Genomic DNA, 19,713 nt, shown 5'->3' on the forward strand with positions numbered 1-19,713 from the left:
TTTTGTTGTCCTCATTGTTCTTATCCATGCTGGAAGCGGGCTGTAGAGAAGCTGCGGTGGGAGAATAAAGAGAGACACCTTAGTCCACTTGTAAGTGGTGACAGTCATAAAAGCTTCCAGGAGGGGGTGATTCTTGACGCAGTCTTTTTTTTTTTTTTTTGAGATGGAATCTCACTCTGTCGTGCCCAGGCTGGAGTGCAGTGGCACAATCTCTGCTCACTGCAACCTCTGCCTCCTGGGTTCAAATGATTCTCCTGCCTCAGCCTCCCGAGTAGCAGGGATTAGAGGCACCTGCCACCACACCCGGCTATTTTTGTATTTTTAGTAGAGACGGAGTTTCACCGTGTTGGTCAGGCTGGTCTCGAACTCCTGATCTCAGGTGATCCACCCACCTCGGCCTCCCAAAGTGCTGGGATTACAGGCGTGAGCCACTGCGCCTGGCCTGAAGCAGTCTTAAATGTGGAGTTGGGAGTGAGTGGGGTGGGGGCCCTGTGAGCTCTCCCAGGCCCCAAGACGAGATGTCTGGGCAAAGGGGGAAGAGGGGAAGAGCGGGCAGGTAGGAGAAATGGCCCCCTGCTGTGAAGGTCGAAACAGTGCAGATCCTGAGAACATCCCTCCAATTAACAGCCCCAGGGGTCTGTGAGGAGGAGAGTATTAGATTTATTATATTGTGATGTCTTTTGCTTTTTCATTTAGGGGCTTGAGCTTTTCTTCTTCTTCTTCTTCTTTTTTTTTTTTTGTTTTTGTTTTTTTGTTTTTTTTGCATTGAAGTTATTGATCCACAGTGTACGAATGATGCTCTCCTGCTCTGTGGTCTAATGAAAAAAGTCAGCTCTGATAGAACACATCAAAAAGTGAAATAAACTCATTCCCTTAAAAAAAAAAGTTGACCTTTTGCAAAAAGTGTCAGAAAATGGGTCCATCTGTGTTACGTAAAGTGTGAGTTTTCTCTCTGAGTTGAATGAAGTCAGGAAATGATCATGAAGAAAACTTCTGCTTCAGAGTGTCAAGAATTGAGGGGTGTTGCTCTTGGTCACAGCATCTTCTGAGCTGTTACCTAAACCCACAGCCGGTGCTGTGAGGTCGGGTAATGCTCACGACATAGCTTTAGCTCACAAGCTGCTTTCTGAAGTCTTGTTCCTTCATTCATTTGTTCTTTCATTCATTCTTTCTTTCAGCTAACCAGGCAACCAGTGAACCCACGAACAAAGACTTACGGGGAACCTTCTGTGCAGGCCTCTTCTGTGCCCTGGGGATATACTCAGGAGGCCAGAGAGATAAGATGGCTGCTCCCAAGGAGTGCAGGCTTAATAAACAGTTCAGCAAATAGCACTTTACTTTTATTCAGCAATGAGTGCTGGGAAGGAAATAAGACCTGGTGATGGTGGAGGGGACGAGGACACAGGGGTGGAGGCTGCTTTATCTTGGGTCATTGGGAAGGCCTTTCTTCATTTTTCTTCATTGATTGGGGCAGGAATAGTCCTTGGGCTTTTTGGCAGCCCAGACTGAACAGATCGGTCCTCCGCATTTACGCATTCGCCAATTACCGTTAGTCATGGCTGTTTGTATATCTTGTATTCTAAGACTTGACCCTGGTTCTCCAGAAACCTTGTGGTGTGGTGGAGGAAACAGATGCATTTTTGGGGTCCAGGCTGTCACTGTAAATATTCATGATGAGTAAGGGGCACACACCAGGACTGTAGAAGTCCAGGGTTTGGGCACTTAGCCCAGGCTGGTATGGGGAGTGCTCAGGAAGACACATCTTCTGGAGAAAAGGTGGCCTGGGCTGGTGGCAGGAGGATCAGGCAGAGAAGGCTGGGCAGGGCATCCTAAGAAGGGGGATGGCAGGAAGCAGAGCCAGGGAACAGCACGCTATGTATAAGAGCAGCAACGCCACACACGTGCCGCGCGTCACCTCCTGTAGGCCCAGGGGCAGACCCTGCCTTAACTGTGATGTCCGAGTACAGGGCTGTCTAGGTCCATGCCTTCACTTGACAGTGACAGGAGCTTGGCTAGTTTATGTGGGAGGGAAAAAAAGTTGACGAGAGGAGAGGCGCTCATTCTGCTAGAATTCAATGGCAGCTCACAGAATGAAGTGTAGGGGTGAGAGGCTGGGTCTTGCAGCCGGGGAGCAGGGCTCCCCACTATGCAACTGCCAGGGGCAGAAGACTTTCTCCCCATGTGTTGACTGTGCATTGGTTTTAGGGAAGGGCTTTGGTGGACCGGACCTGGTGCATGGGGTAGTGTGATGCCGGGCCTGGGCCATGGCATGGGGGTGAGGGTGTGGGTAGAGGTGGGTTCTGTGGCAGAGCCACTAGGAATATGCAGAATGTGGAGCGGGTTCCTGAGTGGAAGGAGCCCCAGGGAAACAAAACCAATCACATGCTTCTGAAAAGTTGTGTGTGTCCCGTTCCTTTCAGACCCTGTGGAGGTCCACTCCCACCACGAGTCATTACATTTGTCTACATCTTGGTTAGCCACAGTTCTGGGCAGCTTTTGTCACCTTGAAAACAGAGAAAAGAAATGTCTTGAGGGGAGATAATGTCGATGTAACGAGCCTTCTTCCTCTGCCTTAACGTCCACTGATTGGAACACCCCATTTAGAAACTCGGCTCACAGGATCATAAAACTGTAACGATTGGCCGGGCGCAGTGGCTCACACTTGTCAGCCCAGCACTTTGGGAGGCTGAGGTGGGTGGACCACCTGAGGTCAGGAGTTTGAGACCAGCCTGGCCAGTATGGTGAAACCCCGTCTCTACTAAAAATAGAACAATTAGCCTGGCGTGGTGGCATATGCCTGTAGTCCCAGCTACTAAAGAGGCTGAGGCAGAAGAATCGCTTGAACCCGGGAGGTGGAGGTTGCAGTGAGCCGAGATCATGCCACTGCACTCCAGCCTGGGCAACAGAGCAAGACTGCGTCTCAAAAAAAAAAAAAAAAAAAAGGAAACTTAGCTGGGCGTGGTGGGCGTGGTGGGCATGGTGGTGCGTGCCTGTAATCCCAGGTACTTCGGAGGCTGAGACACAAGTATCGCTTGAACCTGGGGGGCGGAGGTTGCAGTGAGCTGAGATTGTGCCACTGCACTCCAGCCCAGGCGACAGAGTGAGACCATGTCTCAAAACAAAACAAAAACCCAGAAAACTAATGATCAAAGGCCCTATTCAGCTTTCTCTGGACCCATTCCAGTTCATAGCTGTTTTCATTCCTGATGCTTATGCCAGTGCTTAAGGGTCAGTCTCCTCTGCTTAACTTGCTGGCCAGAGTATCTGTCCCCTGCCCCCTGTTTTGAGGTCCTCACATGGGGCATCCTTCTTAAAACCTCCCATGCTTGTTCTCTTGCCCAGACCTAGATCAAGGTTGATGGGCAAGTTTACTGGGTGGTGTTTATTTCATGCCATTTGACATGCTGGGGTGGAGAGTTTGGACTATGGATTGAAACATGCTTCTGCCTGGCCTCAGGCAACTTAATTGACCTTTCTGGGCCTCAGTTTCCTTCTCTGTGAAATGGGGATAATATTATAACAGGAACAAATCGGTAAGATAATACTCATTATTGACCAGAGTGTGTACAAAGTAGTAAGCTCTCAGTGGCTGTTTTTGTTTCTCTGTTTGCCTGAAATAGGAAGTAGCTGATCTGTGAGCTCTAAGATCAGAAACCTGGGCCCTGGGGACAGGCCTGTACCCTGAAAACTGCAAAGCAGGGTGTTTGGTGGGGTGGGAGGCAGCAGAAGGGGGAGCAGGGCGAGGGAGCCGATGTTCATCCATTTTTTGTGTGTCCTGTCTCAGAGCCAGAGTGATATGCCTGGAAGTGCTAGTCGGGGGTAATATGTATCTAAACCACTGTTTTCTAAACTGTGTCCTGAAACAGCCTTGTGTACCCTGCAACCCCCAAAGCAGGGCCTTCCCATAACCCACCCAAAGACAGTTCCTCCAAGTGCTAGGGACCCGCCAACACCCCTGCACAACGGCTGGGGGCTTTCTTAACTTCCTGCATCTGACACCGAAGGCCCTGCTGACCTCATCCAGGACAGTACAGGTCAGACAGGCCTTTGCTCCAGTCCCATGAGCACACTGATGTTAACCTGTAAGGAAAGGCTAGAACGGGGGGATGCCAGGCCTGACATCTAGCATGGGAAGTCCCTCCATGCTGCCACTTTGTAACAGACGTTACAGACGTCTGTTACAAAGTATAAATTCAGCCTTCTGGGGTCCCAGAGAAAAGGGAACTGGCACTTGGTGTCTTTGGTGTCAGTCCTGTTATGGGGGGCGGTGGGGGGGGTTTGGTCATCTCTTCATGGGGAAGAGGCTGTGATCTGTGACCAGGTCATATACCAGGAGCTTGACCTTGGGCCAGTCTGTCCATCCCCAGGCCCAGGAGAGGGTTGGAGGGATCACATCACTTTGCCATTTGCAGCTGTTCTTCAGTTGCAGAGAATGTGTGCACCCTGCTGCCCTCTGCCTCTCCGTCTTTCTTCCTCTGTCTCCTCCCGTTTCCCTCTATTCCTCCCATCCCAAGAAATCAGCACAAGCATCAGCTGATAGGACCCATCTGGTCTTAGCCAGTATTGAGAATAAAGGCATTTTGCAGGGACACACTTCTGCCTTACAACTGTTTCTTAAAATTCTGAAGTGTTCTCTAGATCAGAAAAAGATCCCATTTATTAAACTGATGACCAGCGAGGAGACGGTCAGGTAGTTTAGTTGAAGGGAGCAGCTCCTCCTTAGGGCACCTAAGACTCAGGCCACAGGCAGGCGGGTACGAGGCTCTGAGAACCTGCCCTGCTTGAGGGGTCCTGGGCATGGCTTTGGCTACTTCCATTTTTATGAATCCTTCTAGACATCTCTTGGGACATAGCTGTTTCAGGACACAGTCTAGAAAACACCAGAGGACGCAGTTTAGAAAACACCAGTTTAGATATGTATTTCCTCCTTGATGAGCATAGTTCTCAGCAGCTGCATCCAGTAGCCCAGTCTGGGTCCTCAGCCTTGTGGGGTTCTTTTGCTTTGCTCCTAGAAGGCCCCAGCTGGAATGTTGTTACCCATGATCCTGGGTCTCCTTGCAGCAGAGCCAGCCACTCCATGGTGAGGATGCACTTTGTTGGTTCCCCTGGCTTCTGGGCCTTGGGCAGGTTGAAATGGCAGGTGTAGTCCCAGCTGGGCAGGGCATCCTGAGAGAGGGGATGGCAGGAAGCAGAGCTAGGGAGCAGCACGCTATCTGTGGGAACAGCGACGCCACACACGTGCCGCGCGTTACTTCCCGTAGGCCCAGGGTCTGGGCCTTGGGGTTGGATTTTGGGTCTGCCTTGCTCCTGGGGCAGCTGCTAGGATCAAATGTTGTGGGGGCGGGTGTCAATGGCACTCAATTGGGGCGCCGCACACACCGTGAGTTTTATGTTGGTGATGCAGACGTAGCTGAAGGTTGATTTTCCAAAGGGGATTAAAGCTCTTTTCCTGGCGATGCCCGAGACCCCTGCTATGCTCTGCTGCAGCCCCCGGAACAGTATTGGCACAGGTGAGGGCCACGCCTCCTCCCTGGGCCCAGGCATCAGGCGCTGGCTCTCCACAGGAGGCCGCAGCTTAAGGAGCTCACAGACGTTTCTATTCGGAGAGAGGGGAAGGAACGAAGACAGGAACACAGCACCGTTTTTAGTACCAGGAGACAGCGACAGCTTGGCGTCAGTGCGATGCGTGACATTTCCGTGTGTAAGGTGTGCTGCTGCCTGGTGGAGTGGCGCGCGAGCACCTGGCTGCTTTCCTCCCTGCCAGATGCCATTTCAGGAAATCGCCTTTGTTGCTCAGGCATTCATACCCCTGACTGCTCAGGCGCAGCCTGGCTTGGGATTCAGGAGGGCTGAGGGGCCTCTCTGAGCTCCCCTGGTGCCTGGAAGGACTCTTCAGGGTCCTAGCCCCTGGCCTGCCATGAGGGCCATCATCTTTAGGCACTTTCTGACCGGGGGACTTTGGCTGTGTCCTTTTGAGACACAGTGTTGCCCTGTGGCCCAGGCTGGAGTACAGTGGCTCACTGCAACCTCCGCCTCCCGGGTTCAAGCAATTGTACTGCCTCAGCCTCCCTAGTAGCTGGGATTACAGGTGCCTGCCACCATGCCCGGCTAATTTTTGTATTTTAGTAGAGATGGGGTTTTGCCATAGTGGCTAGGCTGGTTTCGAACTACTGGCCTCAAGTGGTCTGCCTGCCTCGGCCTCCCAAAGTGCTGGGATTACAGGCATGAGCCACCACGCCCGGCCTCTTTCCTTGTCTTTGAACTTGAGGTATCGCTAGGGTATTTCCAGTGTCCCAGTCCAGGCCTGACATCTCTGAATACATGAAAGGAAAGTAGCAAACCTGAGATTCTGAAAGACAGTTTGTGTTCCAGCTTAGAATGAGAGACAGAGAAAGCAACAGCGTGTGCATAAAGAATCATGGGGGTTTAAAACTGTTACTGAAATCCTGTAATTTTTCAGGGTAGCCCAAATGAATGTGGTATGTTTCTTTCTCTTTGCTTTTCCTCCTATTTTTCATGCTTTCTCTCTCACTTTGCTTTTCTTCCTTTCTTGGTCTGTTTCTTTTCTCTTTCTCTCTTTCACCTGAGTCCTGGCAAGGTGTCACACACTGTGCTCTCAGCTCAGGATGGAGTGGATGGGCCTGAGGCCCTGCCCACCGCATTCCCTGTCTCATAGCGGGGAGAGTCAGGTTCAGATGGCTGTGAGGCAATGGGTCAGGGGGTAGTGTGAGAGGAGGGTTGCCTGTGCCAGGCATGGGAGATGGTGGCCTTTGCGGAGGACAGGTGACATCTGAACTGAGTCTCAGGACATACATATGAAGTACATCAAGGGGCAGAATGGGGCTGGCAGGTAGACAACATCTCTGTCTCCCCGAATTGCTGGTTAGCTGTTCTGAGTCCTTTCCCCTCTTGACCCTGGCTCCTTCCCCACCCATAGCTGCCCTCTCCTCCTTCATAGCCCCAGGACCCAGAGTCCCTGGGAGGGGTCAGGAGCACACCGGCACCCAGATTTATCTCCACCATCTTCCCCTTGTTGCTTCAGGTGAAATCTCAAAAATGCACGCTGGCTGCTGGCACTTAATGTCTTTTTCGGCTGCACCATCAGTGAAGCAGGGCTGGCCTTCCAAACCACTCTGGGGGGTGCCCTTCCCCCCAGCCCAGGGCCACTGCCTGGCATCTTCATGCTGGGCTTGCTGCAGCTGCCCACAGCCCAGGGCCCCAGCGGTCCATCTGCACTGCCAGGCCCAGCTCTGCCTGGTGTGGGCTCCTCACCCCATGTGGCACAGATGCAGAACCTTGGACTTGGACTTGGGAGCACACGTCCACTCTTGGCCAGGGGCTGCTGGCTTACTGAGAGTTTCCTGTTGACCTTTCCAAGCAGCCTCAGAGATTCACCTCTTGGCCTAGCTTGGGCAGGAGTGGGGAGGTGAGGGGGCAGGAGTAGGGGGGCATCTCTGGACTATCTTTATTCTGACCTACTTGATGCATCAGGTGACTTGAAGGCAGCCACCAGTCCCATGAGGCCAGGCAGGCAGTTCACTGCAGGCGTCCCAGCCCCACCTGGTTTCTAGCCAAGGCATCAGCCCTCCTTGGGAAACTTTGACCTAATTTGAGAGCTCAGCTGGGTTCAGCGCTCTCCCCTCTCCCTTTATTTTCTTTCTGCTGGTGTCCTTCTCCTTTCCCCCTTACCACCCAGTTTACCTCTCCCCTTCTTCATTTACCCGCTCACTCCAGCCCAGGACCCCTTTACTCTGGCAGACCCTGTCTTTTCAGTGATCATTTGATCTCAACCTCTGTCCAAGCAGGAAAAGGTAGCAGCCTAGATTTGGACATTCTTTTAACACAGACCAGCATTGAGGCTGCGCCTTGCTGGGTGCCAGGTAGAGGCAGTGAGGCTGCCTGGTCTGTGGTGGCAAGGATAGCCAGACTCACAGACTTTCAGAACTTCAGCTCAGAGGTAAGAGCTTGTTGTTGAAGAAATGACCATAATCATGAATGAACAGTCAGAAAGCCCAGGGACTTTTGAGCACATTAAAATCAGAAGAGGTCACATTTGAACTGAGATCTGATGACTGAGTTGGAGCTAACCAGGTGTAGGGGTGGAAGGAACGTTCTAGACTCAGGGAAGGTTCTGGGCTGAGGGCCTGGGATGGACAGGAGCCGGGCCTGTTGGAAGAACTGGAAGATCTACCTGGCTGCAGAGAGGGAAACACAGCAGGGAAGGGGGAGAATGATGTAAGGTGAGGGTAGAGAGGAAGGCACCGGACAGGATTGTCCACCTGCCATGTAGACCATTGTCTTCCATCGTGGTTGCACATGGCAGCCCGGGCTTCCAAGGCAGGGCTCAGAGCACGTGAGAAGGAAGGCTTCCCTTCCCCAGCCTCCCTCATCAGTGAAGCCAGTCTTTCCCAGAGGCCCTCCACCTGCTCTTGTCCTGGTTGCAGGGGCACCTGAGAAAGTGTCATTTGCCAGCCTTGCAATGGGAAGCAGCCTCTGTAGGCAGGGAAGAGAGCTGAGAGACGGCTAGTGGGCCAGCAGCTGCATGTCTACCATGACCTGGTGACAAGATAGTGACACCTAAGAGCCACTGGAAGTCACCAGAGAGGCCAGCGGGGAGTAGTGGGTCCTGATTTTCCGGTGTGGAGTCAGGGCTTGGCTTCTGAGTTAGCCACTATATTAGTTTGTTTTTACACTTGTGATAAAGACATACCAGAGACCGGGCAATTTACAAAAGAGGTTGAATGGACTCACAGTTCCCATGACTGGGGAGGCCTCACAATCATGGCGGAAGGTGAAAGTCCCATCTCACATGGTGGCAGACAAGAGAATGAGAGCCAAGCGAAAGGGGTTTCCCCTCATAAAAGCATCAGATCTCGTGAGACTCATTCACTACCACGAGAACAGTATAGGGGAAATTACCCCCATGATTCAGTTATTTCCCACTGGGTCCCTCCCACAACATGAAGGAGTTATGGCAGCTACAATTCAAGATGAGATTGGGGTGGGGACACAGCTAAACCATACCAGTCACATACTAGCCATGTGACCTTGGTACACTTACTTTGCCTCTCTGAGACTCAGTTTCCCACTTTTCTGCTAGGGCAGTAGTACACCTTCACCCCTGCAGTGGGGGAAGAGCACTAACATGCTTGGTGCAGGGTGGGTGCTCCCCAGATGCCAAGTGGTATTTTCCTGGCTCTCCCTGAGTATCTGGTGGGGTTCAGCTGGCTGGCCAAACCGTCCAGCTGGTGTGTGGGTGCAGGGGACGTGGGGATGCAGCCCAACTCTGCCTCCTGGAATTGCGTGGCCTTGGGCCAGCCTCGCCTCTTAGAGTCTCATGTATAAAATGGGAATGTCACCCACCCCACCGGATTGACTCGAGACTGAAAGAAGCTGTGCTCGCAAAGGGCATAAATTGGAACACGGCCCAGAGCAGGAGTCAGCACCTGTCACATCCTCCCTCCCCTTGCCTTGAGCTTCAGCCTTCTCTCTTTCTCCTGTCCTTAAAAACAAAAGAAAAGAGATATTCACAAACCATAAAACTCACCTTTTCAAAGTGTACGATTCAGTCACTTTTTAGGATATTCACAAGATTACGCAACCATCACCACTCTAATTCCAGAAGGTTTTCATCACCCTGGAGAAACTCTGTGGCTGTTAGCAGGCAGTCTCCATCACCCCCACAACCCTTCCCCTCCTAGCCCTTGGAAGCCAGTAATCGACTTTCTTTTCTTTTTTAAGTTTTATTTGAAGTTCAGGAGTACAAGTGCAGGTTTGTTACGTAGGTGAACTTGTGCCATGGGGGTTAGCTGTACACATTATTTCTTCACTCAGGTATTAAGCCGAGTCCTCATTAGTTATTTTTCCTGATCCTCTCCCTCCTCCCACCCTCCACCCACCAGAAGGCCCCAGTGTGTGGTGTTTCCCTCTGTGTCACGTGTTCTCATCCTTTAGCTCCCACTTCTAAGTGAGAACATGCAATACTTGATTTTCTGTTTCTGTGTTAGTTTGATAAGGATAATGGCCTCTACCCCCATCCATGTCCCTGCAAAGGACATGATCTCGTTCTGTTTTTGGCTGCATAGTATTCCATGGTGTATATGTACCACGTTTTCTTTAACCAGCGTATCATCGATGGGCATTGAGGTGGATTCCACGTCTTTGCTATTGTGAATAGTACTGCAGTGAATATGTGCTAAGCATGTGTCTTTATAATAGAATGATTTATATTTTTCTCTGCAGATTTTTCTCTAGATCTGCCTTTTGTGACTTAGAATCGTAGAAATCATACAATACGTGGCCTTCTATGCTTGGCTTCTTTCACTTAGCGTAATATCCTCAAGTTTCATCTGTGTTGTAGCATGCATCGCTACTTCATTCCTTTTTTTTTTTTTTTTTTTTGTGATGGAGTTTCTGTCGCCCAGGCTAGAGTGCAGTGGCGCTATCTCGGCTCACTGCAAGCTCCGCCTCCTGGGTTCCCGCCATTCTCCTGACTCAGCCTCCCGAGTAGTTGGGACTACAGGCGCCTGCCACTGCACCCGGCTGATTTTTTTTTATTTTTGGTAGAGACGGGGTTTCACTGTGTTAGTCAGGATGGTACCAATCTCCTGACCTTGTGATCCACCCACCTCGGCCTCCCAAAGTGCTGGGATTACATGTGTGAGCCACCACGCCTGGCCTACTTCATTCCTTTTAATGGCTGAATAATATTTCATTGTTTGGGTAGATCACATTTTTCTTATCCATTCATCTCCTGATGGCCATTTGGGTTGTTCCCCATTTATGGCTGTTACGAATTATGTAGCTATGAACATTCCTATACTAGTCTCTGTGTGAACGTTTGTCTTCAGTTCTCCCGTTTTGTGGTTGTCCTTCCATTTTGATAGTGTCCTTTGAAGCACAAAAGTTTTTAATGTCGGTAAAGTCCAATTTATCTGTTTTTTCTTTTGTTGCTTGTGCTTCTGATATCATGTCTAAGAATCCTTTGCCTACTTGAGGACACACAGATTTAGCCCTGTGTTTTCTTCTGAGAGTTTTATAGTTTCAACTCTTAAATTTAGTTATTTGATCCATTTTGACTTTTGTTTTGTTTTGTTTTGAGTTAGATTCTCACTCTGTCACCCAGGCTGGCGTGCAGTGGCGTGATCTCAGATCCCTGCAACCTCCGCCTCCTGGATTCAGGCTATTCTCCTGTCTCAGCCTCCCAAGTAGCTGGAATTAAAGACACCTGCCATTATGCCTGGCTAATTTTTGTAGAGATGGGGCTTCACCTTGTTGGCCAGGCTGGTCTTGAACTCCTGACCTCAGGTGATCTGGCCACCTCAGCCTCCCAAAGTGCTGGGATTACAGGTGTGAGCCACCACGCCTGGCTTTGACTTAATTTTTATATATGGTATGAGGTAAGGATCCAGCTTCATTTTATTGTGGATACCCAGTTGTCCCAGCACAGTTTGTTTAAAAAAAAAACTGTTCTTTCCTCACTGAATGATCTTGGCACTCTTGTCAAAAACAAGTTGACTATAGATGAATGGGTTTGTTTCTGGACTCTTGACTCTGTCCCTTGCATCTCTATGCCTGTCCTTCTGACAGTGTCACTCAGTCTTGATTACTCTGGCTTATTAGGACGTCTTGGAATCAGGAAGTGTCTATTCACTCTCCTAACCCTGTTTCTTCTTTTCTCTCTTCTTCCCTTCTCTCCTTTTATCTTTTGTGCAATCTTTAGGGCAAGAGATTACAAGTGTTTGTTGTAAAGGGCCAGATAGTAAATATTTTATGTCTTTGTAGGCCGTGCAGCCTCCATCTCAGATGCAACTCTGTTCTTACAGAGTCAAGGCAGCCATAGGCTATATGTAATGAATGGATGTGACTGTGTGTTTTTTTGTTTTTTTTTTTTTGATATAGGGTCTCAGGCTGTCACCCAGACCCAGGCTGGAGCGCAGTGGCACAATCATGGCTCAGTGTAGCTGCTACCACCTGGACTCAAGTGATCCTCCCACCTCAACCTCTCGAGTAGCTGGGACTATAGGCACTTGACACCACACCTGGCTAATTTTTTCTTTATTATTTGCAGAGACAAGGTCTCACTATGTTGCCCAGGCTGGTCTCCAACTCCTGGGCTCAAGCCGTCCTCCCATCTCAGCCTCACAAGTCCTGGGATTTTAGGTGTCAGCCACCATACCTGGCTGTGTTCAAAAAAAACTTTTTTTTCTGGTTTGACACTGAACTTTGAATTTCATATACTTTGCCCATGCTAAAGAATACTACTTTTCTTTTGATTTTTTTCCAGCTATTTAAAAATGTGAAAATCATTCTTAGTCTGTGGGCCGTATGAAAACAGCCAGCAGGCCAGGCGTCCAGCCTGGTTTGAGAGGAGTGCGTCTGGAGGGAACAGTGTGTCAGAGGAAGATGGAGCATCTGCCTAAATCCTGCCGGGCCTAGGGCCTGCGTGGGCTTTCTCTGTCATGCTCCTTCCTATGGAAGCTGCTCAGTAGATCCTGCTGGGGACATGGCATTGCGGCACTGAGACATCAGAGCAGGGTCACCTGTGTGCTACTAGAGGGGCCCACGCTGTTCCTCCCTGACTACTCTACCAACCCCTGGCCAAGGCAGCAGAGAGAGTCTTTGCGCAGATACTCTGATAAATCAAACTACAATGGATGCCAGCCACATGTTTTACCTTTTCTTCTGGAAAAACACACAATCCTCACTGCACCCCAAAACATCAGCTCTAAATCTTTCTAAGAGGAGCATGGCTTTTTTTTTGAGATAGGGTCTTGCTCTGTCGCCCAGGCAGGAGTGCAGTGGTGCTATCTTGGTTCACTACAATCTCTGCCTCCCCTTCAAGCGATTCTCCTGCCTCAGCCTCCCAATTAGCTGGAACTACAGACATGGACCGCCATGACTGGCTAACTTTTGTGTTTTCATTAGAGACAGGTTTTCACTATGTTGACCAGGCTGGTCTCAAACTCCCGACCTCAGATAATCTACCTGCCTTGGCCTCCCAAAGTGCTGGAATTCCAGGCATGAGCCACCGCACCCGGCCAAGCACGACTTTTAAAGCCAGTCCAAACTCTGCCGGATGGCTGTCATGTGTGACTTTGGTCTAGTAAGTTAGTCTGTCTGAGCCTCAGTTTCTTCACTTGCAAAAAGGGTATGGGATGAGTGAGTACCTTCTTCACTGGGGAATGTGAGCATTCGAAACTTGCATAGCACCTAGCATGTAATAAGCACTCAGTATAGCATCTAGCACGTAATAAGCACTCAGTATAGCACCTAGCATGTAGTAAACACTCAGTATAGCACCTAGCACGTAGTAAGCACTCAGTATAGCACCTAGCACGTAGTAAGCACTCAGTATAAGACCTAGCACATACTAAGCACTCAGTATAGCACCTAGCACGTAGTAAGCACTCAGTATAGCACCTAGCACGTAGTAAGCACTCAGTATAGCACCTAGCATGTAATAAGCACTCAATATAGCACCTAGGACATAGTAAGCACTCAGTATAGCCCCTAGCATGTGGTAAGCACTCAATATAGCACCGAGCACGTAGTAAGCACTCAGTATAGCACCTAGCATGTAGTAAGCACTCAGTATAGCACCTAGCATGTAGTAAGCACTCAGTCAAAGCTATTTGCTGCTGTGCTGCTGTTTCTTCCCACTGCATCCCTTATTGCACTGGATGCTGAGGGAGATGCAGGTGGCTGCTTCCAGCCCATGGTGGTTCCCTGAGCCTGCAGCCTCATCTGCAGCATAGGAATAGACACAGATACTCAAGTACTGGCCCCAGATCCTGGTACATAGTAGATGTTGACTTTTCTTCTTTGCCTGAGCTGGATTAGGTGGGTGTAGGGGGAATTCTTGTTCCATACCAGAGTAAGCATTTGTGGCCTGTTTCTGGCACAGGTACCTGAGTCATTTTCCTGGACTTTTTGAACAAGGGAGAGCGTTTTTCTCCATGGCCTCCAAGCCTCACTCCCCAGGCTACAGGTCCTTCCCTCTGTCTCTTCCTTGTAGGCCCCACCCCATTTACAGGTCATATTCATCACATCTCCAGAACCCCTTCCTCTAGATCAGGGGTGAGCAAACTGTGGCTTGTGGGCCACATTGTCCCCTCGACAGTGTTTTTTTTTGTTTTTTTTTTTTTTTGAGACAGAGTCTCACTCTGACAGAGTCTCAGTCATCCAGGCTGGAGTGCAGTGGCACGACCTCAGCTCACTGCAACCCCTGCCTCCTGAGTTCAAGGGGTTCTCCTGCGTCAGCCTCCCAAGTAGCTGGACTATAGACATCTGCCACCACGCCCAGCTAATTTTGGTATTTTTAGTAGAGATGGGGTTTCACCATGTTGGCCAGGCTGATCTTGAACTCCTGACCTGAAGTGATCTACCCACCTCGGCCTCTCAAAGTGCTGGGATTATAGAAGTGAGCCACTGTGCCTGGCTGACAGTTTTTTTTTGTTTTTGAATAAAGTTTTATTGTAGTGCAGCCATGTCCATTCATTAATTTAATGTCTGTGGCTGCTTTTATACAACAAAGACAAAGGTGAGTCTTTAGGACAGAGCCCGTATTATCCACAAAGCCTAAAACATTTATCATCTGGCTGGCTGCAGAAGACGTTTGCTGAGGCCTTATCGAGATGCCCCCGCTTCAGGGCTCCTGTATGCTGAGCCGTCCTCCATTCTACGCTGTTCATTCTGTACACTGAGCAACTCTCCTGTGTGCATCTCCCCAGGAGGCTGGGGCTCCCTGAGGGTAGGGCTCTCTCATCCTAGGTGCCCACCTTGCTCACAACACAGGCACATAGTAGGTGCTCAATACCTATGAAGTGATAGATGACTGGCTGGCTGAATGAATGAAAGAATGAAATAAACATGAAATAGTAAATCAAGATGGAGTTCTTCCCAGGTCCACCTAAGCTAAGCTTTTTCACTTACAAAAAAATAGCCTCAGTGTACAGTGGGTTCAGAACTTCTCTTTCTGCAGCCCATCAGCTTCCTCTCCAACCTCACAAGTAGGTGTCACCAGTAAAAATGGCTGACACTCAGCATGGCGTCTACTGTATGCCAGGCCCTGGATTGAGTGCTTTACAGATATTAACCAATTCAAGCCTCGGGACAACGCTAGGAAGAAACTCCTGCTGCTGCCCCCATTCTACAGATGAGGAAATCGAACACCTGAGAGGCTAAGCCACTTCCCCAAGGACACTAAGCTAGTAAATGTGTGTGAAAAGGGAGTGCATTCAAACCCAAGAGGTGGAGCTCCCGAGTCCACGCTTTCGCGCTGCACACCTGCTTCCATGCAGCTCCTGGACGTGCAGTTGAAACAGTAGCTTCTCATTCTTTTTTTTTTTTTTTTTTTTTTTTTTGAGACAGAGCCTTGCTGTGTTGCCCAGCCTGGAGTGCAGCGGTGCAATCTCGGCTCACTGCAGCCTCCACCTCTTGGGCTCAAGCAGTTGTTCAGCTTCTGCCTCCTGAGTAGCTGGGACTAGAGTCGTGCACCACCATGCCCGGCTAATTTTTGTATTTTTAGTAGAGACGGGGTTTCACCATGTTGGCCAGGCTGGTCTCGAACTCCTGACCTCAAGTGATCCACCCGCCTTGGCCTCCCAAAGTGCTGGGATTACAGGCGTGAGCCACTGTGCCTGGCCCCATTTGTTTTTGAGACAAGGAAACTCCTTTCAGAGTCTCTGCCTAGAATCTTAAAAGCTCAGCAGAGTCATTAATTGTTCTTTATCATCTGGTGGGATATTTAATGTAGTAACTGCCTCTAATTGAGTGGGTAATTCAGGATTGATCTAGCACTCCAAGAGGGACCCACTGTGTGCTCAATGAATAGAGAGGAGTCAGAGGAGCTTATCAAGAACATTGCTCAGAATAGGAGCCAGTATCGATGTTTTAGTTGGAAAGAGTTGGCCCTGTGGAGGGGATTCCTTGCAGAGTTTCATGGCAGTGGAGCTCCTGTTGACTTTCCTCTGTGCCTTGTTAGGTATACTCAACACTTAACATGGATGAGGATTAAATGATTTAACCTATAGGAAACACTTAGAATCGGCTCCAGTATGTACTAAGCTCTCAATATGAAATGGCCGTTATTCACCTGTTTTATTAACTGGATCCCAACGAGCTGCCTCATGTTCTTTATTTTCTAAGGGCAGGATTGACATATGTAAAATAGGAGCCAGGTGTGGTGACTCACATGGTAATCCCAGAACTTTGGGAGGTCAAGGTGGGCGGATCATTTGAGGTCAGGGGTTCAAGACCAGCCTGACCAACATGGTGAGACCCCGTCTCTACTATAATATAAAAAAAATTAGCAGGGTGTGGTGGCACGCATCTGTAGTCCCAGCTACTTGGGAGGCTGAGGCAGCAGAATCACTTGAAGTTGGGAGGTGGAGGTTGCAGTGAGCCGAGATGGTGCCACTGCACTCCAGCCTGGCGACAGAGGGAGACTCTGTCTCAAAAAAAAAAAAAAAAAAAAAAAAAAAAAAAAGTAAAATAAATGCTACAGACCAGCACCATTTCTTAAATACAAACTTTGATTCTGAAAGCATCCAGGCAATTGAAGAAGTCCCATCGGCTTAGCATGAGCTTTGGGCACCTTTCTGTCTTACCTTTTTCTGCAGATGGACAAAAGTATACATGATGGATTTTTGTTGTTAGCGGAATTCTAAAAATCAAAACTAAAAACTATCCTGGTGTCCAGCCTAATCCTGGATACCCCCAAAGATTCTCAATCAGTACTTTCTGGATCAATTTTCACCTTTCTAAACCTCATTTTTAATCTGTAATAACAAAAGTCCAGAGAAACCACCCGGACAGAGCCGAGATTTCATAAATGGGAAGAAGACAGTGTAAACCAGCAGCCTGTTCTCCTAGGTCTTACAGCAAAATCAATATTCCCTTGCTGTGAGACCCGAATGGTGGAAACCAGTTGGCTGAGGGGACTAATTGGAGCCTTTTGAAAATTCCCTGGCTGGAATTGAGATGCAGGTTAACAGATAAGATTGCCAGCTCGTGTGTTATTTTTCAAAGCTCTCTCCTGAGATTGTGTTTGTCACTTGGCGAGAGTGCTTCATGTGTCCCACAAAAGCGGGAACAGCCCCACCACTCAGAGAGCCCTCTCTTCCCTGTACCCTGCCCCTCTCAACACACATCTGAGTGTCTCCATTGCTGGCACGGTTGTCAGGAAGACACTAGGGAAGGGCTTTTATCCAATGGGATAAAAACCTCCCCCAAATCAGCTGATGGTAGCTGAGATCATTCACATCTAGCACCGGGAAGGCCTAGGATTGGGGCTTGGGAATGATGATGATGGTGGCGTTCCCGGGATTGTGCTGATTGTGGATGTATGAGGCCTGTGTCTCGCAGTGGCCCCACCAGGGCAACAGCAAAAATGACGTTATTATCTCCCCATTTATGGATGAGCATTGAAGTTCAGAGGGGTTAAGCAAGGTGACCAAGGACACATAGCTTGTAAGTGACAAAACCAAGGCTTGCGTCCGGGTCTGTCTCACTTCAAAGCCTGTGAGTTTCCAGCTGACCACCTTTCCATGTCCTCCTTGCAACCCCAGTGAACTTCCCTGAATCCCCTTCCTCAGATCCCTGTCTTTGGTCAAGGATGGTGGTGATGGTGACAGACACCAGCTGAGTATTGGACAGCGTTTTTACCTGATTCCCATGATACATTGCCATATCTTCAATTGCTGGTGAACATGTTTTTCATAAAGTGCAGATTATTAAATTGTTCAAGGCAATTGGGAACTCTTTTTTTTTTTTTAGGCCACCAAGTCAGTGATCCTGTTTGACTGCAGTTATTTTTCATGGTGACACCTCCTGCTTATGTACAGCCCAACATCTGGTGGCATACTAAAGGTTCTGAGAAGTTGATGAGAAAAGAGCAGATGACTTCTTTTTTTTCCAGAAAATCCTCTTGCCCTCATTGTTGGCTGGAAAAGCCTGACTTTATCGCATTCCACCCTGCTAATTATGGGAGTGGCTGCCCAGTGCTCAGAGACAGAACTGAGACTTTCCCTGAAGTGTCTGGCTCATAGTCATGTCTGTCAGTCTTTCTCCAAGACAACAAGCTGTCCTGATCAGGTGCATCAAACTGCCTTGCATCCAGCTCTACCCATTTTCTTCTAACTAAGCATCTTTCTTTGCCTTTTGGACGGTAGTGATTTGCTTTGGTTTTCGCATTCACTAGGCTCTACCCATAGGTACCAGGTTGACTCCCAGTGATTATCTCTCCAAGCTAGGGGAAGAGTTGCTGGCTGCAGGGCAGGTTTGCATTGAGGAAGAAGACTCAGTTTAGTTTCAACGTACATGTACTACGCAACCTAATTTCTGCTGGATATGGTGCCCAAAACTGGGGATAGAGAGATGAGACATAGCTCCTTACCCTCAGGTGGTGCTCAGTCTAGTTGGGGTGGTTAGGGAAGGCAGGCACAGCAGCAGGGGATAGGGAGGAGGAATAGTGATAGACCTTGGTCTAGGGCATTGGAGGAACACAGAAGTTGGGTAGAATTGAGGAGAGGAGAAGAGACCAGGGAAGGATGTTGCAGGGTGAAGATGCTGGAGGCAAGCCCTCCAAGATAAGTAGAACTTAGCCAGGCAAAGAAGGCACGGTGGGGACAAGCAGAGGGAACAGGCTTGAGAATAGGCACGGCAAGGACAGGGATCATGGCATATGTGTGAGCTTGGAGTGAGCTGGTTTAGGTGGATTATGCAGTGCAAAGCAGGTAATGATGTTTGTATTTGGCATCTTAACTCACAAGTGACAGAAAACCCAAACCAAACTGGCTTACAGAAAAAGGGAATTTGTTACTCTCTGTAAGTCAGTAGTCTTGGGGTAACCTGGCTGCAGGCACGGGTTGATCAGGGGCTCAAATGCAGCACCTCCCGTGCTCCAGCTGTGCATCTCCCTGCTCTGTTTTCTGCATTTAGAAGTCACAATCACTTCAGAAGCTATTTGTCTGAGGTTACGCAGGTTGCATCCAGGCCTGTCTCACTTCAGAGCCTGTGGGTTTCCTGCTGACCACTATCCCTTCTCTTCCTTGCAACTCCAGTGAACTTTCCTAAATCCCATTGCTGAAATCCCTGTCTTTGGTCACAGATGGTGGTGACAGGGGCAGACAACAGCTGTACATTTGACAATGTTTTTACATGATTTCTGATATGATTTGGCTGTGTCCCCACCCATATCTCATCTTGAGTTGTAGCTTCCATAATTCCCCACGTGTTGTGGGAGGGACCCGGTGGGAGACAACTGAATCATGGGGGGCGGTTCCCCCATACTGTTGTTATGATGGTGAGTAATTCTCAGGAGAGCTGATGGTTTTATAAGGGAAAACCCCTTTTGCTTATTCTTGTTCTCTCTTGCCTGCCACCATGTAAGAGGTGGCTTTGCTCTTCCTTTGTCTTCTGCCATGATTCTGAGGCCTCCCCAGCCATGTAGAACTGTGAGTCCATTAAACCTGTTTTTCTTTATAAATTACCCAGTCTCAGTATGTCCTTATTAGCAGTGAGAACAGACTAATACAATTCCCATGATATATGGAGACACTCAGTTGTGTGTTGAGAGGGGCAGGGTGCAGGGAAGAGAGGGCTCTTGAGTGGTGGGGCTGTTCTAGCTTTTGTTTGGGCACATTCTCAAACAGCCTTTCTTCTCATGGGCAGGAGTCAACTGTGGAAGCTGCAAATGGGATCAACTTGACT

The 19,713-nt window shown here is 49.2% G+C and overlaps 1 protein-coding gene across 19 annotated transcripts in view, besides 3 other annotated features; it reads left to right on the forward strand.

The window, feature by feature from the left end:
* The window catches only part of SNX29 (sorting nexin 29), a 597,554-nt gene that overhangs the window by 453,975 nt on the left and 123,866 nt on the right, over positions 1-19,713 (forward strand). The gene's annotated exons all lie outside the window — the stretch shown is intronic.
* Positions 4,860-5,547: an enhancer, noted in NCBI's record as "H3K4me1 hESC enhancer chr16:12529425-12530112 (GRCh37/hg19 assembly coordinates)". NCBI's record gives its function as "activates a minimal SCP1, AML or CMV promoter by ChIP-STARR-seq in naive H9 embryonic stem cells {active_cell/tissue: H9 hESC(naive)}" and the evidence as "EXISTENCE:reporter gene assay evidence [ECO:0000049][PMID:30033119]".
* Positions 5,548-6,234: an enhancer, noted in NCBI's record as "H3K4me1 hESC enhancer chr16:12530113-12530799 (GRCh37/hg19 assembly coordinates)". NCBI's record gives its function as "activates a minimal SCP1, AML or CMV promoter by ChIP-STARR-seq in naive H9 embryonic stem cells {active_cell/tissue: H9 hESC(naive)}" and the evidence as "EXISTENCE:reporter gene assay evidence [ECO:0000049][PMID:30033119]".
* Positions 8,048-8,549: an enhancer, noted in NCBI's record as "H3K27ac hESC enhancer chr16:12532613-12533114 (GRCh37/hg19 assembly coordinates)". NCBI's record gives its function as "activates a minimal SCP1, AML or CMV promoter by ChIP-STARR-seq in naive H9 embryonic stem cells {active_cell/tissue: H9 hESC(naive)}" and the evidence as "EXISTENCE:reporter gene assay evidence [ECO:0000049][PMID:30033119]".

The sequence above is a fragment of the Homo sapiens genome, chromosome 16 (genome assembly GCF_000001405.40).
Source record: "Homo sapiens chromosome 16, GRCh38.p14 Primary Assembly".
Taxonomy (NCBI): domain Eukaryota; kingdom Metazoa; phylum Chordata; class Mammalia; order Primates; family Hominidae; genus Homo; species Homo sapiens.